The 16,987-nt window shown below is 36.8% G+C and overlaps 1 protein-coding gene and 1 long non-coding RNA gene across 35 annotated transcripts in view; one reads left to right on the top strand and one right to left on the bottom strand.

The window, feature by feature from the left end:
* Positions 1–16,987, bottom strand: part of DLG2 (discs large MAGUK scaffold protein 2) — a 2,173,362-nt gene that overhangs the window by 1,136,803 nt on the left and 1,019,572 nt on the right. The window lies entirely within an intron of this gene.
* Positions 3,138–16,599, top strand: LOC105369416 (uncharacterized). The gene is made up of 4 exons (XR_007062820.1): positions 3,138–3,208; positions 4,071–4,155; positions 15,208–15,299; positions 16,522–16,599. It is a non-coding gene; the product is annotated as an uncharacterized LOC105369416 (long non-coding RNA).

The following is a 16,987-nucleotide window of genomic DNA, read 5'->3' on the forward strand; positions in this document are numbered from 1 at the left end:
TCTGTGGGGGTAGGACCCAAGGAGCAGGGATTTTATTATTTTTAAAATTTATTTTTTTGGAGACAGTCTTGCTCTGTCACCCAGGCTAGAGTGCAGTGGCATGATCTTGGCTAATTGCAACCTCTGCTTCCTGGGTTTAAGCCATCCTCTCACCTCAGCCTCCTGAGTAGCTGGGACCATAGGCATGAGCCATCACGCCAGGCTGATTTTTGTATTTTTTGTAGAGATGGGTTCTTGCCATGTTGCCCAGGCTGGTCTTGAACTCCTGAGCTCAAACAATCTGCCCCTACCTCTGCCTCCCAAAGTGCTGAGATTACAGGAGTGAACCACGGCACCCAGCCAAGTCGGCAGGAATTTTAGAGCTCACCGGTTGGTTGCTAAGTGTAATCAAGACTGAGATCCATTAATTTAAGGGTTCAATTACTTATGGGGACATTTGTGAGTATTGTTGAAAGTATATGATGTGGGCAATAAGCCAGAACTCACTGAATTAAAGTATGAGCAATGAGAAAGCAAAAAGAAACAAGTGTTAGACCAGTAGTATGCTAGTCTCTTGAGAGTCTAGGTAATACCATTTAGGACACAGGCATGGGCAAAGACTTCATGACTAAAACACCAAAAGCAATGGCAACAAAAACCGAAATTGACAAATGGGATCTAATTAAACCAAAGAGCTTCTACACAGCAAAAGAAACTATCATCAGAGTGAACAGGCAAACTACAGAATGGGAGAAATTTTTTGCAATCTATCCATCTGACAAAGGGCTAATATCCAGAATCTACAAGGAACTTAAACAAATTTACAAGAAAAAAAGAAATAACCCCATCAGAAAGTGGGCAAAGTATATGAACAGACACTTCTTGAAAGAAGACATTTATGTGGCCGACAAACATGAAAAAAAGCTCATCATCACTGGTCATGAGAGAAAGGCAAATCAAAACCCCAATGAGATACCATCTCATGCCAGTTAGAATAGTGATCATTAAAAAGTCAGGAAACAGGCCAGTAACAGGATTACAGGCCTGTAATCCCAGCACTTTGGGAGGCCAAGGCGAGTGGATCACAAGGTCAGGAGAGCAAGACCATTCTGGCTAACACGGTGAAACCCTGTCTCTACTAAAAAAAAAAAAAAAAAAAAAAAAAAAAAAAAAAAAAAAGTTGGGCATGGTGGTGGGCACCTGTAGTCCCAGCTCCTCGGGAGGGTGAGGCAGGAGAATCACTTGAACCCAGGAGATGGAGGTTGCAGTGAGCCAAGATCGTGCCACTGCACTCCAGCCTGGGCAACAGAGCGAGACTCCATCTCCAAAAAAAAAAAAAAGTCAGGAAACAACAGATGCTGGAGAGGATGTGGAGAAATAGGGACACTTTTACACTGTTGGTGGCAGTGTAAATTAGTTCAAACATTGTGGAAGATAGAGTGGTGATTCTTCAAGGATCTAGAACCAGAAATACCATTTGACCGCCAATCCCATTACTGGATATATACCCAAAGGATTATAAATCATTCTACTATGAAGACACAGGCACACGTATGTATATTGCAGCACTGTTCACAACAGCAAAGACTTGGGACCAACCCAAATGCCCATCAATGATAGACTAGAAAAAGAAAATGTGCACATATACACCATGGAATACTATGCAGCCATAAAAAAGGATGAGTTTATGTCCTTTGTGTGCAGGGACATGGATGAAACTGGAAACCATCATTCTCAGCAAACTAACACAGGACTAGAAAACCAAACACCACATGTTCTCATTCATAAGTGGGAGCTGAACAATGAGAACACATGGACACAGGGAGGGGAACATCACACATCAGGGCCTGTCAGGGGTTGGGAGGCTAGGGAAGTGATAGCATTAGCAGAAATACCTAATGTAGACGACGGGTTGATGGCTGCAGCAAACCACCATGGCACGAGTATATCTATGTAATAAACGTGCAGGTTCTGCACATGTATCCCAGAACTTAAAGTATTATAATTTAAAAAAAGAAAAAGAAAAAAGAGATTCTCTCTATAGCCAATTATGTTAGGAAACATGCCCCATCTTTGATAGCATTAGCATATTGAAGACTGAGCAATTATTCAACAAAGAAACCTGTTTAACATTACCTAATTGAATATTTTCTAAATTTATTTGTCTTCAGAACACTACTTTTCCCATCTAACACCTATTAATTTTCCCAAGAAATGCCAATACATTTTTTTTAATTTCAAGAAATTACATGAGAATGGCAGTGCAAATAATGATGTATCTTAGAGGAAGGAAAGAATGGTTGAGAGAAGACTTTATATCCTTAGAATAGGAAATAATTGGTCACATTTGTAGAATGAAAAGAATGAAACATAGGGGAGGGAGGAATTGAAGATGCTGTAACAAGCAATGATCTGATTTCTTTAGCCCTGGTAAGAAATGCACAGTTAAACTGTGGGTGGATTTTCTTTTCTCAAGCCTCTCTTCTCCATTGATGACCTCACAGAGTCCAGAAGACAAGGGAACATGGACTGGCATTCTAATGTAACATTCATTCATGCCTCAACATTTATTGAGCATCTTCTATGTGTCTCGTCTAGACAATAGAGGTGACTATTCCATTTGGAATGCCAACAAAAGCCTCACCCAAAAAATGAAACTTAAATTGGTTTTTCAAAAGTGAGTGGATAATTCACTAGGAAGAAAAAGAAGAATATGAAAGACAGAAGAAAGCATGAGAAAACAACAATGAAAGAACAAAGTAGCAGTCCAAAAAATTGTGACTGAAATACGGATGGGACTGGTAGAACATGAGGCTGGAAAATTAGACTAGGCCACACATATACAAAAACTTTAAATGGCATGCAAAACAAACAGTTTGGGATTTATGAGGTATAAAATAGGAAAAGACATGCTATATTTGTCTTACAGAAAAATCACTTTGACAGCAGTGTGAGTGATAAACTGGAGACCTGCCACAGAGGGACTAGTTTAGAGCCTACTGCAATTATGGAACTGTTGCAGGTTTCCATGGATACAACTGGGTATAAAGTATTATTTAGTAACAGAGCCTGAAACATCATGTGATCATTACTGGTTTAAAGCAAACCTCCTACCTCAGGATTTGGGCACCTTTCCAAAATATAAACTCAGCATTTATATCAACTGCTGCTATGAAAGTTATTTGGGATCATGTAGATGACCTTTCATGCAAAAAGTAGATCACAAAATGTAGGTCGTTGAAAAAATTACAGCAGCACTTTGTAAAATGGAGATTTGAGAAGATACTCATTTTATATTTATTTTGGGGGTCTCATACCTATCTTGAATATATAGTTATGGTAGAAAAAGTTCTATTTCTGAAGCACAGTGGTGTGATCTCTGTTCATTGTAACCTCCACCTCCCAGGCTCAAGCGATCCTCCTACCTTTGCCTCCAGACTAACTGGGACTAAAGGTGCGTGCCACCATGCTGGGCTAATTTTTGTATTATTTTGAGATTTGGAGAGATAGGGTTTTGCTATGTTGCCCAGGATTGTCTCAAACTCTTGGGCTCAAGTGATCCACCCACCTCTGCCTCCCAAAGTGCTGAGATTACAGGCATGAGCCACTGCACCTGGCCTGGCAATAGTACCTTAATGAAAGACTTAGTCATTGTCAGAGCTACCTCATAAAAAGGTAAATTTCCTTTTTCTAAAAAAAAAAAAAAGCTTATTTGTTGCATATTGAAATAAGCATTCAAGCAACTGAACCTTGTATGAGATCCAGTGGGAGAGTCTACAGACACCAGGAACTTCCTGGCTCTGCACAGACAGATTTTGCGGAGAAAACACAATCTTGCTCTCAAGGTAGTGAAGCTTTCATAGGTTATTACTGTTTCATTTCTTCCGGAAGTTGTTTCAAGCTTTATTTAAGATTGGCTGAAAAAAGCTTACTATGATTCCTTTAACCATAAATAAAGCATAAAAGAAGAAATATCACAAAATCATCCAAATACTGCAGATGCTTTCTTGGTTTTAAAGTCACAGATTGAAAACTGGTTTTAAAGCAGGAGGTATAAGCATTTGATGCTCTGATTATTTTTTACTTTAAAGAAATAATTGGAGTTTTAGAAGACTTGAACTCTACAGCATAGAGAAACCAACAAAACCAACCTAATAAAAATATTGCATCTTAAAGGTAAGAGCTAAAGGAATATTAATGTGGAAAAAATAGGAGCCACTCTGAAGAATCTGACTTAAATCACATAGGAGAAAAAATATTTTTTCCACATTAACACCTAGCATTAGCTAATTTTAAGGAAAAAAGAAAACATTTATTAGGCAACTTACAAACTTCTCTCATCAGCTGAAAGAATTATCAGACTTACTCTGTTGAAATTTCTTTCCTTCTTTTCTCTGTCTCTCTCTCTCTCTCTCTCTCTCTCTCTTTCTCTTGACGGAGCTTTGCTCTTATCACCCAGGTTGGAGTGCAGTGGTGCAATCTTGGCTCACTGCAACCTCTGCCTCCCAGGTACAAGCAATTCTCCTGCCTCAGCCTCCTAAGTAGTTGGGATTACAGGTGTGTGTCACCATGCCCAGATAATTTTCTTTTTTTTTTTTTTTTTTTTAGTAGTAGAGACGGGGTTTCGACACGTTGGCCAGGCTCCTCTCGAACTTCTGACCTCAGGTGATCTGCTCACCTCGGTCTCCCAAAGTGCTGGGATTATAGGCTTGAGCTATTGCACCCAGCCTACTCTGTTGAAATTTCTAGAGGAAGAATGGAATTTCAGTGGCAAATACCAGCTCAAGGTAATGAAGGCATTTCTAACAATTAGCACTATCTCTAGATGGACTATGCAGCATTTGAGAGGGTGTATGTAGTCATTTGTGGGTGGTACTCTGGCAGAAGCTAAGAGACCATCATGCGTTTGCCACAGGAAGCATATGGGTGAACTAGATGACCTCTAAATTACTTTTGATTTTGGAATTACATATTATCAATGAAAACGAAACTGAGGTTGAACTGTTAACTTAATTGTACGAAATATATCACTTTCCAAATCCTTATATCAAAATACTATTTCTAAAAGACTTACTATGTTATGCATCAGGCACTATGCTAGGCATAGGGGATTCAGCAATGATAATGACAGAATGAATCTACTGTGGCCAGACTCAGTGACTCACACCTGTAATCCCAGCAATTTGGGAAGCTAAGGCGGGCGGATCACCTGAGGTCAGGAGTTCAAGACTAGCCTGGCCAAAATGGGGAAACCCCATCTCTACTAAAAATACAAAATTAGTCAGGTGTGGTTTCTCATGCCTGTAATCCTAGCTACTTGGGAGGCTGAGGCAGGAGAATTGCTTGAACCTAGGAGGCAGAGGTTGCAGTAAGCCGAGATTGCGCCACTGCACTCCAGCCTGGATGACAGATCGAGACTCTGTCTCAAAAAAAGAAAAAAGAAAAAAAAATGAATGAATCTCTTACGCTTATGGAGCTTTAGAGTCTAACTGCGAAGACAGCAAAGTAAGCATTAATTACAAGGAGGGATAATGATAGAGGAAGTACTTGTATTTCTCCTCCTTATGACCACTATTATTATTAGACAGACTATTTTTTTTCCAAAAAGTTGATACTGTTCTCAAAAGCACTCTGTTTCTACAAATGCTAGAATCCAAAAATTATGTCAAAATGTCTTTTTAACATGAGAACAATGATGTCAATGATGGGTGAAATGATAATGAGTAGAGGAAGATGAAAGCATACATATATTCTTCCAGTCTCTGGTTTTCATATTATTTGTAAGGCATGGATGCTTTTCAAGAGAAAGGCTAAGATGATATGGCAGTGGCAACCATGAACCATTAAAGCAGCAGTTAGAGTTACTAGATGTAAATAAAGAAAAATCTATCTCCAAAAGCTTGCTTTGAACTTTATAATGGGTGGATTGCACTGATATCATCTGAATCCATTGATCAATTACAGCATCAGTAAAAGTAGGACAAGAAGGCATCATTTGCCTTCAGTAGGAAGTATGGAGCACCATCTATGAAGTATTCTTGCCATTTGAAACCATAACAACAACAAAATCCATTTAATGTAATCAGGCCTGTACTCCTAATTAGCAAATTACAGGAACAAGGACAGGTGAAAAGAGAACAAATTAAATGATACCATGAGAATAGTGCTTAATCAATCTATGTTTTTCTTTTCATATTATTAAAACTCCAATAAGGTAACTATTACTGTGCATTTTCACAAATAATGAGACCAAAGCTCAGAAGGCTTTATTAAGATATCCAAAGTTGCAGAGTAACAAGCTAAGATAAGGTTTGGGGAGTACTGTACCTAAATTCACAGGATGTGTTTTGCACTGGGCCTCACTGCCCCAAGAGAGATTATTTCATCCACTCTCATTTTACTGCAGCACAGAAGGACTAAGCCCTTTGCTCAGAAACCACCAACTAGTACTTGCAGGATCTAGGTGTAGATTACAGGTTCCTTAATTCCAAATTCAGTGCTCCTCTGTCCCTACAAATTATAAATTTGGGCAACCCTTGATGCCCAAGCTGCAATATGGATCAGTTAAATCAGATTCTTTGAGGGTTGGATTAAGAAACCACTATTTTCTAAAGTACCCAAGGTGGCTCCACTTTGCAGCTAAGGTTGAAACACTGGTGTTATGATGCTTATTTCCCTAATCCAACTCAGCTATTTTACATTTTATCTAATCCTATTCATCACTAAATTCTGAGAATTTCTTCCCAGGTACCACGCTTATCTAAACTATATTGAAAATATCAGTGTATGAAAGGAATTCCACCTCCTCTGATAATATTTTAGTTACTATGTTTGTTAAAATCATATAACAGGCCAGGCACAGTGACTCATGCCTGTAATCCCAGCACTCTAGGAGGCCAGGGCAGAAGGATTGCTTGAGCCCAGTAAGTTTGATACCAGCCTGGAAAACACAGGGAGACCCATCTATGAAAAAAGAAAAACATTAAAAAAAAAAAAATTTAGCCGGGCATGGTGTCACATACATGTGGTCCCAACTACCTGGGAGGCTGAAGGGGAAGGATTGCTTGGGCTTTGGAGGCCCTGGAGGCTGCATTAAGCCACGATCACATCACTGCACTTCAGCCTGGGTGGCAGAGTGAGACCCTGCCTCTAAAAATAAAACAAATCTTGGCCAGGCACAGTGTCACATGCCTGTAATTGCAGCACTTTGGGAGGCAAAGGTGGGTAGATCACCTGAGGTCAGGAGTTCGAGACCAGCCTGGACAACATGGTGAAACCCCATCTCTACTAAAAATACAAAATTTAGCCGGGCATGATGGTGCATGCCTGTAATTCCAGCTACTCAGGAGGCTGAGGCAGGAGAATCATTCGAGCCCGGGAGGCAGAGGTTGCAGTGAGCCAAGATCATGCCATTGCACAGCAGCTGGGGTGACAAAGCAAGACTCCATCTCAAATGATAATAATAATAATATGATAAATCAGATCTCAGGACATTAACTGAGCCTTGTTTTACGAGGGACTATGAAAACTGTGTCATATGTCAGCATCCATAAGCGGTGCTCCCTCTTCTACTTCTGCTTTCACAGTACAGACCCATCTAGGCAGAATCAGCTTTCTCCAGGCATGTTGGGTCATTCTCTTCTTTCTTGCTTTAGTGCCTTGTTTTTGTGAAGAGCTGAGCAGAAACTGCCCCTCTGGGTAGACTCATCTAGGACTTACTCTTTCTATTTTAAATGCTTTGTGTCTAAATTTGAATGGTGTATTCATACATCTTAGTTCATGAAGAAGGAAATAGGATGCCTATTTTACACCTACAGGCTTAAGCCATATGGATTTCTCAGCTTTTACCAGAGCTGTGTTTTGGGAGCATTTAGTATTCAGGTATAAAGTGGTACTCTGAGGCCAATTTAGCTTCTATGCCTTATGTATACATTCCGTAATTAGAAATTCCAAGGGAAGCCAGCAGTGGGGCTCACATCTGTAATCCCAACACTTTAGGAGGCAGAGGCAGGCAGATCGCTTGAGCCCAGGAGTTCAAGATCAGCCAGGGTAACATGGCAAAACCCCATCTCTACAAATGGTACAAAAATTAGCCAGGTATAGTGGTGCACACTTGTAGTCCCAGCTACTTGGGAGGCTGAGGTAGGAAGATCACCTGAGCCCTGCGAGGCTGAGGCTGCAGTGAATCCTGATGGCTGAGGTAGGAAGATCACCTGAGCCCTGCGAGGCTGAGGCTGCAGTGAATCCTGATGGAGCCACTGCATTCCAGCCTGGGCCACAGAGTGACACCTTGAAAAAAAAAAAGTAAGAAGGAAGGAAGGAAGGAAAGAAAGAGAAAGAAAGAAAGAAGGAAAGAAAGAAAGAAGGAAAGAAAGAAAGAAAGAAAGAAAGAAAGAAAGAAAGAAAGAAAGAAAGAAAGAAAGAAAGAAAGAGAAAGAAAGACAGAAAAGCAAGCAAGCAAGCAGGCAGGCAGGCGGCAGGCCGGACACAGGGAGGAGTATGAATGTCAGGGCAAAAATAGGGCATTTCTGAGTCCCTAGCCATCATACCATCAATGAAGAAAATAAATTTCAACCTAAACCCTAAACATTTATTATTATTAACTTGTATTGGTAGTTTTTTAATCACTTACATGACAGATTCCACCCTTCCCCTATTCTCTCCACAATACTGTGGGGACAGCAGAAATATTCGACAGATTATTAAATCCAGGATTATTGAGGCTAAGTAACTTGTTCTGTAACACAAGCTGGTTATGAGGATATGACTAGAATCTATCTGCCTTCAAATATAATGCTCTTTTAACATACCTTGTTTATTTTTTCAAATTCATTCTTCAGGAATTTAAAAAGGGAATTTATCATGTATAAATATAACTGCAGTATTTAGTGTCAAGACCTCACTGCTTAACAAAACCAGAACTTTATTCCTCTTATAGGATAGCATTTTTGGGTATTTCTTGGATAACAACAGTAAACTTTGTATACCAAAGAAATCTGCGAAATGAAACTATGAATTATCACTATTAATTAAAAAATGAGAAAAAGAAGGAAATAATTGCCTTTTACAACTTATCCCTCAAAACTGGTACATGGTAGGTGTCCAAGGAATGTTTAGATAATTGCTATAGAAGTTCAAATGCTCAAAGGATAAATGGCTTAACACAAGGTAAAAATAAAAGCTTACAGTAGAGAATAATTATATTTGACTAATTAAAATATGAACTTTGCTCACTTCATTGTGTTTGGATTATATGTATAAAGGTAGTGATCTAGCTATGCTGAAGCTATCTCTACTCTGTTATTTTTATGTAGAAGATTGTACACAGGTAACCCGCATATATTATCAAGCAAGAATAAGGAGAAATTATATTTGGTGTTGACAGGTTATTCTGGAAGCTGTAGTGATACATTTGCCACTGAAAGAATTGTTTTGAAACACACACACACACACGCACTCATGCACATACAGAGAATATTGCTCTTCATTATTGACACATTTTTTCCAATAATAAAGATAGGCATCAACATGTAATTAAGAAGCATTAGGAAAAATACCCGTGGAAACTACAATTGTGAGAAAAATTAGTACATTTTCTGGAAAGAAATGCAGTGCTTCCATGTATCATCTAAGAGCTTTAATCCAACAATCATTTCATCTCCAGTAATTTATTCTAAGTAATCAAAAGACAAGACAGGCAATTTTGCATAAATATGTTGAAGAGAGCATGACTTATGACAGTGAGAAACTGGAAATTACCTAAATATCCAACAATACAAAATGACAGGATTTGGTATCTCGGTAGAATTGAATCTTAATCACCTACTAAAATGTTTTTAAAGAATATATAGTGACAAAATAATTACACGTGATGATGTTAAATGAAAGATCCAAAGAAAATATGCCTACATTTTGACAATGTTTATGTAAGTAAATTTAAAAAATATATTTCAGTTTTTACACAATTGTAGTTTACAAATTTTCTTGAATAATCATGACTATAGATAGAATATTGGGAGAACATATTATTTATTAATATTGCTAAAGGTCTGTGGTAGAAAATAGACTGAATTCGTGGTTAGAAAACCTGAGCCCCAAATGAATACACTTGAGGGTTCATCTTTGTGATCACAAGCCAATTATTTAACATTTGGGGTCTCAGTTTACCCTTTTGTTAAAAGAGTAGCATAAATTCCAGAGGTCTAGAATTCAAATATTTTCAGAGGTCCATCAGATAATATAAAAGCATCAGGAAACTCAGATTCAGACATTCATTCAATGAAGAAATATTGACTGCTTATTAGATGTCAGGCTCTGTGCTGGACACTGGGAATACAGTAGTGGGAGAAATAGAGGTGGCTAGCTGCTTATATTGTGATCAAATCTTAATATTTTCCTAGAGATGGAGAAGTAGGGTAGGACACAGTAAAATAGCTGCAATAAAATCAATACTTTGCATGCAGTGTCTCAGTTTATTCTCTAAACAACTCTAAGAAATACCTATTATTTTCTCCATTTCTCCATTCTACTGGTGAAAAAAAAAATAGGGAATTTAACTGACTTGCCCAATTTCATAAAGGTATTAAGTAACAGAAAGACATAAAGTAATTATATTAAATAATGAAAACTTTGTGATATTAAACAATTCACTCAATCTTTCTATCAGTTTCTAAATAAGAAAGAGACAAAAGCTTGAGTAGATTTCCATTAAGCTTTCCTTTCAATTCATAAACACTATGATTCTATTTTCAATCTAAATTTAGCTCTGTAAACCATATACCAGTGATCCCATCTACATATATTAAAACAACCTATTTTCCTATTATCACCAAAAAGCAAGTGTAATTTGATTTTGCTTTTATGTCCCTTTAAGGATGCAGTGGGAGAAATAGAGTGATCACCTTGGGGCTCTGGAATATTCTCATTTGGAGTCTACTTTTGATTTTGCAAAAAGTCAGCTTCCTCAATATGTTATCAGCTCTGCAGAAGATCTTAAAAGTCTGCTGACAATTGTCACCTCAAACATTAATTCATTCAGTGTTTCTTCACAACAGAGAATTACTGTTGCTGAGTTAAATTAAATGAAAAAAAGAAAAAGTGTAAAACAATTTAAAAGAAACTAAAACTCAAACTAAATGATAGACATGAATTAGATAATGTTCTTCTCTGATTGCATTGGTGAAATTAGAAAATTCTAATTTAGAATCAAAGTCCAGCTTATCTTTGAAGGAAATAGAATAGAATAAAATACTGAAAAATGAATAGCTAGCATAAAAGCCTAGGTCAAATGTAACATCAATCGAGCATCTTCTTTTAGTCTTCTACTGAGAATTAATTGCTCTGTTCATGGTTCTCCTAGAGGACATTATAAATGCTTTAGAAGGCTTATTAGTCTGTCCTGAACTCGTTTATGTAACTGTCTCTACCAATAAATATTGAGCTATTAAAGGGCTGTGGCCAGGTTATTTATATCTCTATGCACCCGGATCATGATGGTCTGAACATAGCAGACATTCCATATATATTTCTAAATGAAAAAATGAATAATTCAAATAAAATTACATTTTTCTATTGAAATGTGACTTTTCCTCTACTTGAATATGACCTAGAGCAAGCCATTTACCTCTAGATCTCAATTTGCTCATCTGTAGAAGCAGGTATGCATCTGCATCACCTCTAACATAAAGTTTTAGATGTGAAAGGATGCAATCAATCTAAGAGCCATTTAGGATAACTGTGGAAGAAAAAAGATAAAAGACAATTCTTAGGGGTCAACAATAGGTTCAAAACTAGTCACTCATCCTCTTAATGGCTTCATTTTCCTAGTTCTCAATCTCTGAACCTGAGTCATCTTTGACTCTCACTCTTTCTCATTCTTCTTTGTTACCAAGATCTATCTTCTTAGTTCTCACAATATATCTTATCTCATGTATTGGTTTATGACAAGATTATCCAATTCAGTCATTTTATAAACATTTATTGAACACCTACTATCTGCCAGACACTGTGCTAGGTATTGTGGGTACTCTGATGAACTCAGTGGCTTCAGCCTCTGCTCCCATGGAGCTTATATTCTAGTAGGATCTAAAAACAAACAAATATTCAATAATACACAATGATTAGTTTTTGACATGGAAAAATGGCACCTATCACATGCTGGAATAAGGAAATTTTCTTAAAGAAATGATATCACTACCACCACAATGACTACACAAGGGATCATCATCATCATCATCCTAATATGTAATAAGCTGCTACTAATTTATCCTTAAATTGTTATAAGATAGGTACTATTAGTCCTACTTTACAAATAAGGATAGTGTATCTAAGCAAAAATAACTTGACTAAGATTGCATAACTAATTTAACATTTAACTCCTGAGTCTGTGACCTTGAGCAGTAACACTGCTTAAGATATTCTGATACCAGAGGAATCAACAGGAATAAGAAAAAGAAGAGCTCAGTTAATTTTCCAGAAGTAAGAATAACATGTACAAAACTCAGGAGATGAGAGAGAAGAATATATTAAGATAATTGAAGAAAGTTCAGCGTGTACAAATCCTGGGGCAGTGGGGAGTAGGGTAGGGAAAGTAATGATAAGATAATGAAGCTAGAGATGTTAGCAGAAATTAAATTATGTAGGGCTTTATAAGTCAAATTAAGGTATTTAAACTTTATGTTAAAGGCAACTACTGCAATAGGTATCCTACTGGCATTCATTTCATCTTCCTGATTTATGTGAGGCTACTGTCATTCAGGCAGTGTTCTAAGTGCTAGAGATGGCATGGAACAAAATAAGCAAGGTCCTTAATCTCAGGAAGATAATTTAAAAAATAAACCAGAAAGTAAAATGTATTGCTAAGTGCTACAATGGACTGAAAATAGGATGTGACGGGAAATGACAAGGTCAACACCAGATGATATTAAAAGGTCTCTCAGAGGACACTGATTTTCATCTTTGTCTTTGTAGTCATGATGGTTTACACTCAAAGCTGTAGCCAAAATAATGTTTGTGATAATCTCTTCTAAATAGTTTTTCAAAATATATTTTAACAAATAATATGTTCCTTTAAGAAAGGTCGATAGATTTAAAGTAAAAGGGAACTTTTAAAAAATTTCTACTCCCAAGTGATAATTATTTTTAACTATTTGGTATATATTCTTCTTGATAGTTTTTACCTAAATTAATAATATAAATATTTGTTTTCACATAAATGAGATAGAAGTTACTGTTTGGTATTTGTTTTGGTTTGTTTTTTAACATATGATAAATATTATTCAAGGCTAGTACATAAAAATATAATTCATCATTTTGGAAAACCATAATTATAAGCATTTTGTTCAAGGTTAATGCCATAAATTATTTAAAATATTCCAATTAATGGGCATTTCCTTTGATGCCAATGTAACAGTACTAGGCAATATACTACTACAGATTGTTATGTATGATCATTCTTGAGTATTTCTCAATTGTTACCTTAGCATGCATTTTTAGAAGAATTGCCAAATACAAGGGTATGCACATATTAAATACTGAAGTATTCTGTCATATTATTTCCCAGGAAGTCTATACCAAGTTATAGTCTCATAATTATGCACAATTTACATCAATGATAATAGTTACTTTTCTATATCTTCGTCAGTACTAATTATTATTAATCTTTTAAAATACTTATTAATCTAATAGGTGAAAATGCCACATTACTTTAATTCACATTCCATTGCTAACACTATTCAACATCTTTGCATATAAGCATCCATTTATGAGGGACAATCTGTAATGCTACGTAATCCTCTGCAAAAAAAAAAAAAAAATCCTAGAACTCTTCACTGTCAATTGCACCCATTTATAAGGAAAAATCTGTAATACCATGTAATCCTCTGCAAAAAATCCCAGAACTCCTGTCTATTAGAAAGGTGTTTGGACTTCTTAATTTGACATTCATGACTCTCTGCCTAAAATTTACCTTTCTAGGCCTCTGGTCTGAAATTTCCTTACATGGCTCCTAAGTTCTCTTCAAATAGGTTTGCTCACTGATCTTTCATTATACTTTTCTTTCCCACATCTGCACCTGTGATCATGCTGTGGAATTTACAACCCCATCATTCAAGCCTTAGATCAAATTCTGCTTCTCTCCAGGAAACCATTCCTATTATTCTAGTCATAACTGACCTCTTTTTTGAATGTCTTCAGTGCATTTCTTTTTCTCCTCTTAAGGCACTGATCACATTCTACTTTTCTTTGTTTTCCTAGTAGATTGTTAGCTATACAAAAGCCACCTTTAGCATGGTAGCTGGAAGACAGTAGCTACTCAAATACTTCTAAAAGAAATAATTGATTTTACAAAAAATTAATTCTATGTATTCCACACCTCAGAGTGCATTAAAAAAATGAAAACATTTAACATTTTCAACAGGATTTTAATTTTAACAGTGGAAAGTATACATAATTTAAATGCACAATATTAGGGAAGTGGATAAACCGCAGCATATTCATGGAATTTTATGCGTACATGATAACAATTTGTAAACAGAGAGTACAGAAATGTATATAATGTGTGTCACTGTTATGCAAAATAAACAACACACACACACATGGAAATACTCCAAAATATAAATTATAATTGTCTTTGTATGGTGGACCTCTTCTAAATATTTTTTCTATAAACTTTCCTATGCTTTCTAAATTTTCTATATTAAGCATGCATGGTATTACTTTAAATAGCTTTATTTCCATCTTTCTTTAAAATAAGTACAATTGCAAAACTGCAAGATAAAATTTTTAAAAATTAATTGATGGATTAAATGGCAATTGTGACACATAAGTGAAACTGTCTAAATTCCTTTTGGACAGCTGACAAGAAGATAAATGCCTCTGTTTCTATATTCAAGTAAAAACAAGTGCACTCGCATTATGAAAGGGGAGTGGGAAGGAAAAGGAAAATGATCTTTATGTTCTTGCTACAGAAACAAGAAAATAAAAAGGGGAAGAAAAAGGTCATAGGAGACATTGATGCGTTAAGCTCCTCTTTCTACCTGGTGGTGTAGTATCAATTCTGCCCCAAGACCAGTTCAATCCCTTCCCCCCTGGAAAATCTTCCCTGGACCCTCGCATGTACCAGTCTCTACTTTCTCTGAATTGTGTTTTATTTACTACAAGTGTCATATTTGAAAGCATTTTATATGTTTCTAAATCATTTCTACTTTTTAATTCTTTCTCCATATCCAGGATCCAAGGTCATCAAGAGCAGGGGGCCATAGAGCTTAATTTTTTTTAGTGTTATTCAAGCATCTAAAACAGCCAGACACACTACATGCTTAGTAAGTATCTTCAGATGAGCCCTTTTCAATGAGATAGTGAGTCACTGGAATGTCTTACTGTAAAAGAGAAAGGGATCTAAAATTTATTGAGCCACAACTATAATTCAAGTGATTTACGATAACTATTATATATTTTATGCTAACTCTTAAACAAGGTATTCTCTCCACTTGAGAGTCAGAAGCAAGTATACAGATAGAACTTATTTCCACGAGGCTCCAAAGTCCTTTCTTCTACCCTGTAAAGTTGAGAAAGCCACATAAAACCTTCCACTTCTTGATGCATAGCCTTGCTTGAGCTAAACTAGAGCAGGCTATAATGATGTCCTCATAAGGAAAGATGTAAGATTTTTGGGGGGGCAGGGAGAGCAGACCAGTAAATGTCATTTCTGCAGGAAAGTGAAGTCAGTGGACTTTTAAAATTTCATACTCTGTCTCCTGAACTTATTAAATAAAGAGTCAGGTAAAGATTTCTAATATTCTAAATTCAGTTTACTCCTTTTTTTAATGAATATAATTCCTACAGTGGGAAGTGCATGGACTCTAGAGCAAGACAGACCTAAGTTCAAATTCTGGGCTTTACCTCCTCCTATCTCTGACTTTAATCAGGTTATTCTCATTTATCTAGTAAGTATTGATCCCCATATCTAATGAAAGAGACAATCACCCCACAGAGTTGATTCAAGGTTGAAGTAAGGTAACCTAATCTCTAATATGGTACCTGGCCTCTGGTAAGCACTCTAAAAATGTTAGTGGTCTCCCCTCATCCCAACATCCTTTGTCCTCTGAGATAAGAATAGTTCTTTACTGCAGACATAACACATGACTCTAACAACCAGTCTCTCTGAACAGCTTTTCTTTGGTTTGGTGACCTAAGGAGAAGGTCTTGTGTCAGATAACAATTCCTGTGTCAAGATAGGCTTGAGAAAAGCAACCTCTAACCACAAATTGAAGACAATTCCTTATAAGCATCTCTCTAGAGGCAGTGAGCAACAGGAGACTGTGCGACTTTTGACTTTAAAGGCAGCACCAGGATCCAATTCCTCTCATACACAGAGCACCTAGCAAAGGCCCTGGCACTGGCCAGTGAGCAGTATTAGACATGTGGCCCAACTCATTCAAGGCAAAATTCCTTCTTGAACATTTTATAACACAAAAGACAAAAATAAACACAATCATATCTGATCCTATTTCTTCTTTGTTTGTGTGTTTGTTTTTACCACAGTCCCTAGAGATACAGACTTGACCTAGGGTAGAAACAAGCTGCACCACCTCCAGCAATGGTTCTGAAAAGGCACTCTTCACACACTTATCTGCTGAAGCAGTGACTCATGAAATTCACAACGTGCTAAGATTCGGTGAGAAACACTTCATATCAAATTAACATAAGCAAAAGGTTACTTGAGGGAACACTGCACTACTTTTTTAGGTGACCCAGTTATGGCTAAATTTGGAAAGTTGGCAAGGCTGATTCTTCCCTTGAAAACAGATCTCACAGAAATATAAGATACTATGAAGCCTCAGGGCCCAGTTTTTTGCCGTGGCATCCATAGTGAGTAGGGCCACTTGACAAAGTCAGACACTGTGGATGTGTCTGGTCACTTCAGGTTGCCACTGAGATAACCGTTTTCTAGAGTATGCTTTGTGAGACAGAAATCAGAGGACAAATCAAACTACAAACAATTAAACAA

The sequence above is a fragment of the Homo sapiens genome, chromosome 11 (genome assembly GCF_000001405.40).
Source record: "Homo sapiens chromosome 11, GRCh38.p14 Primary Assembly".
NCBI lineage: Eukaryota > Metazoa > Chordata > Mammalia > Primates > Hominidae > Homo > Homo sapiens.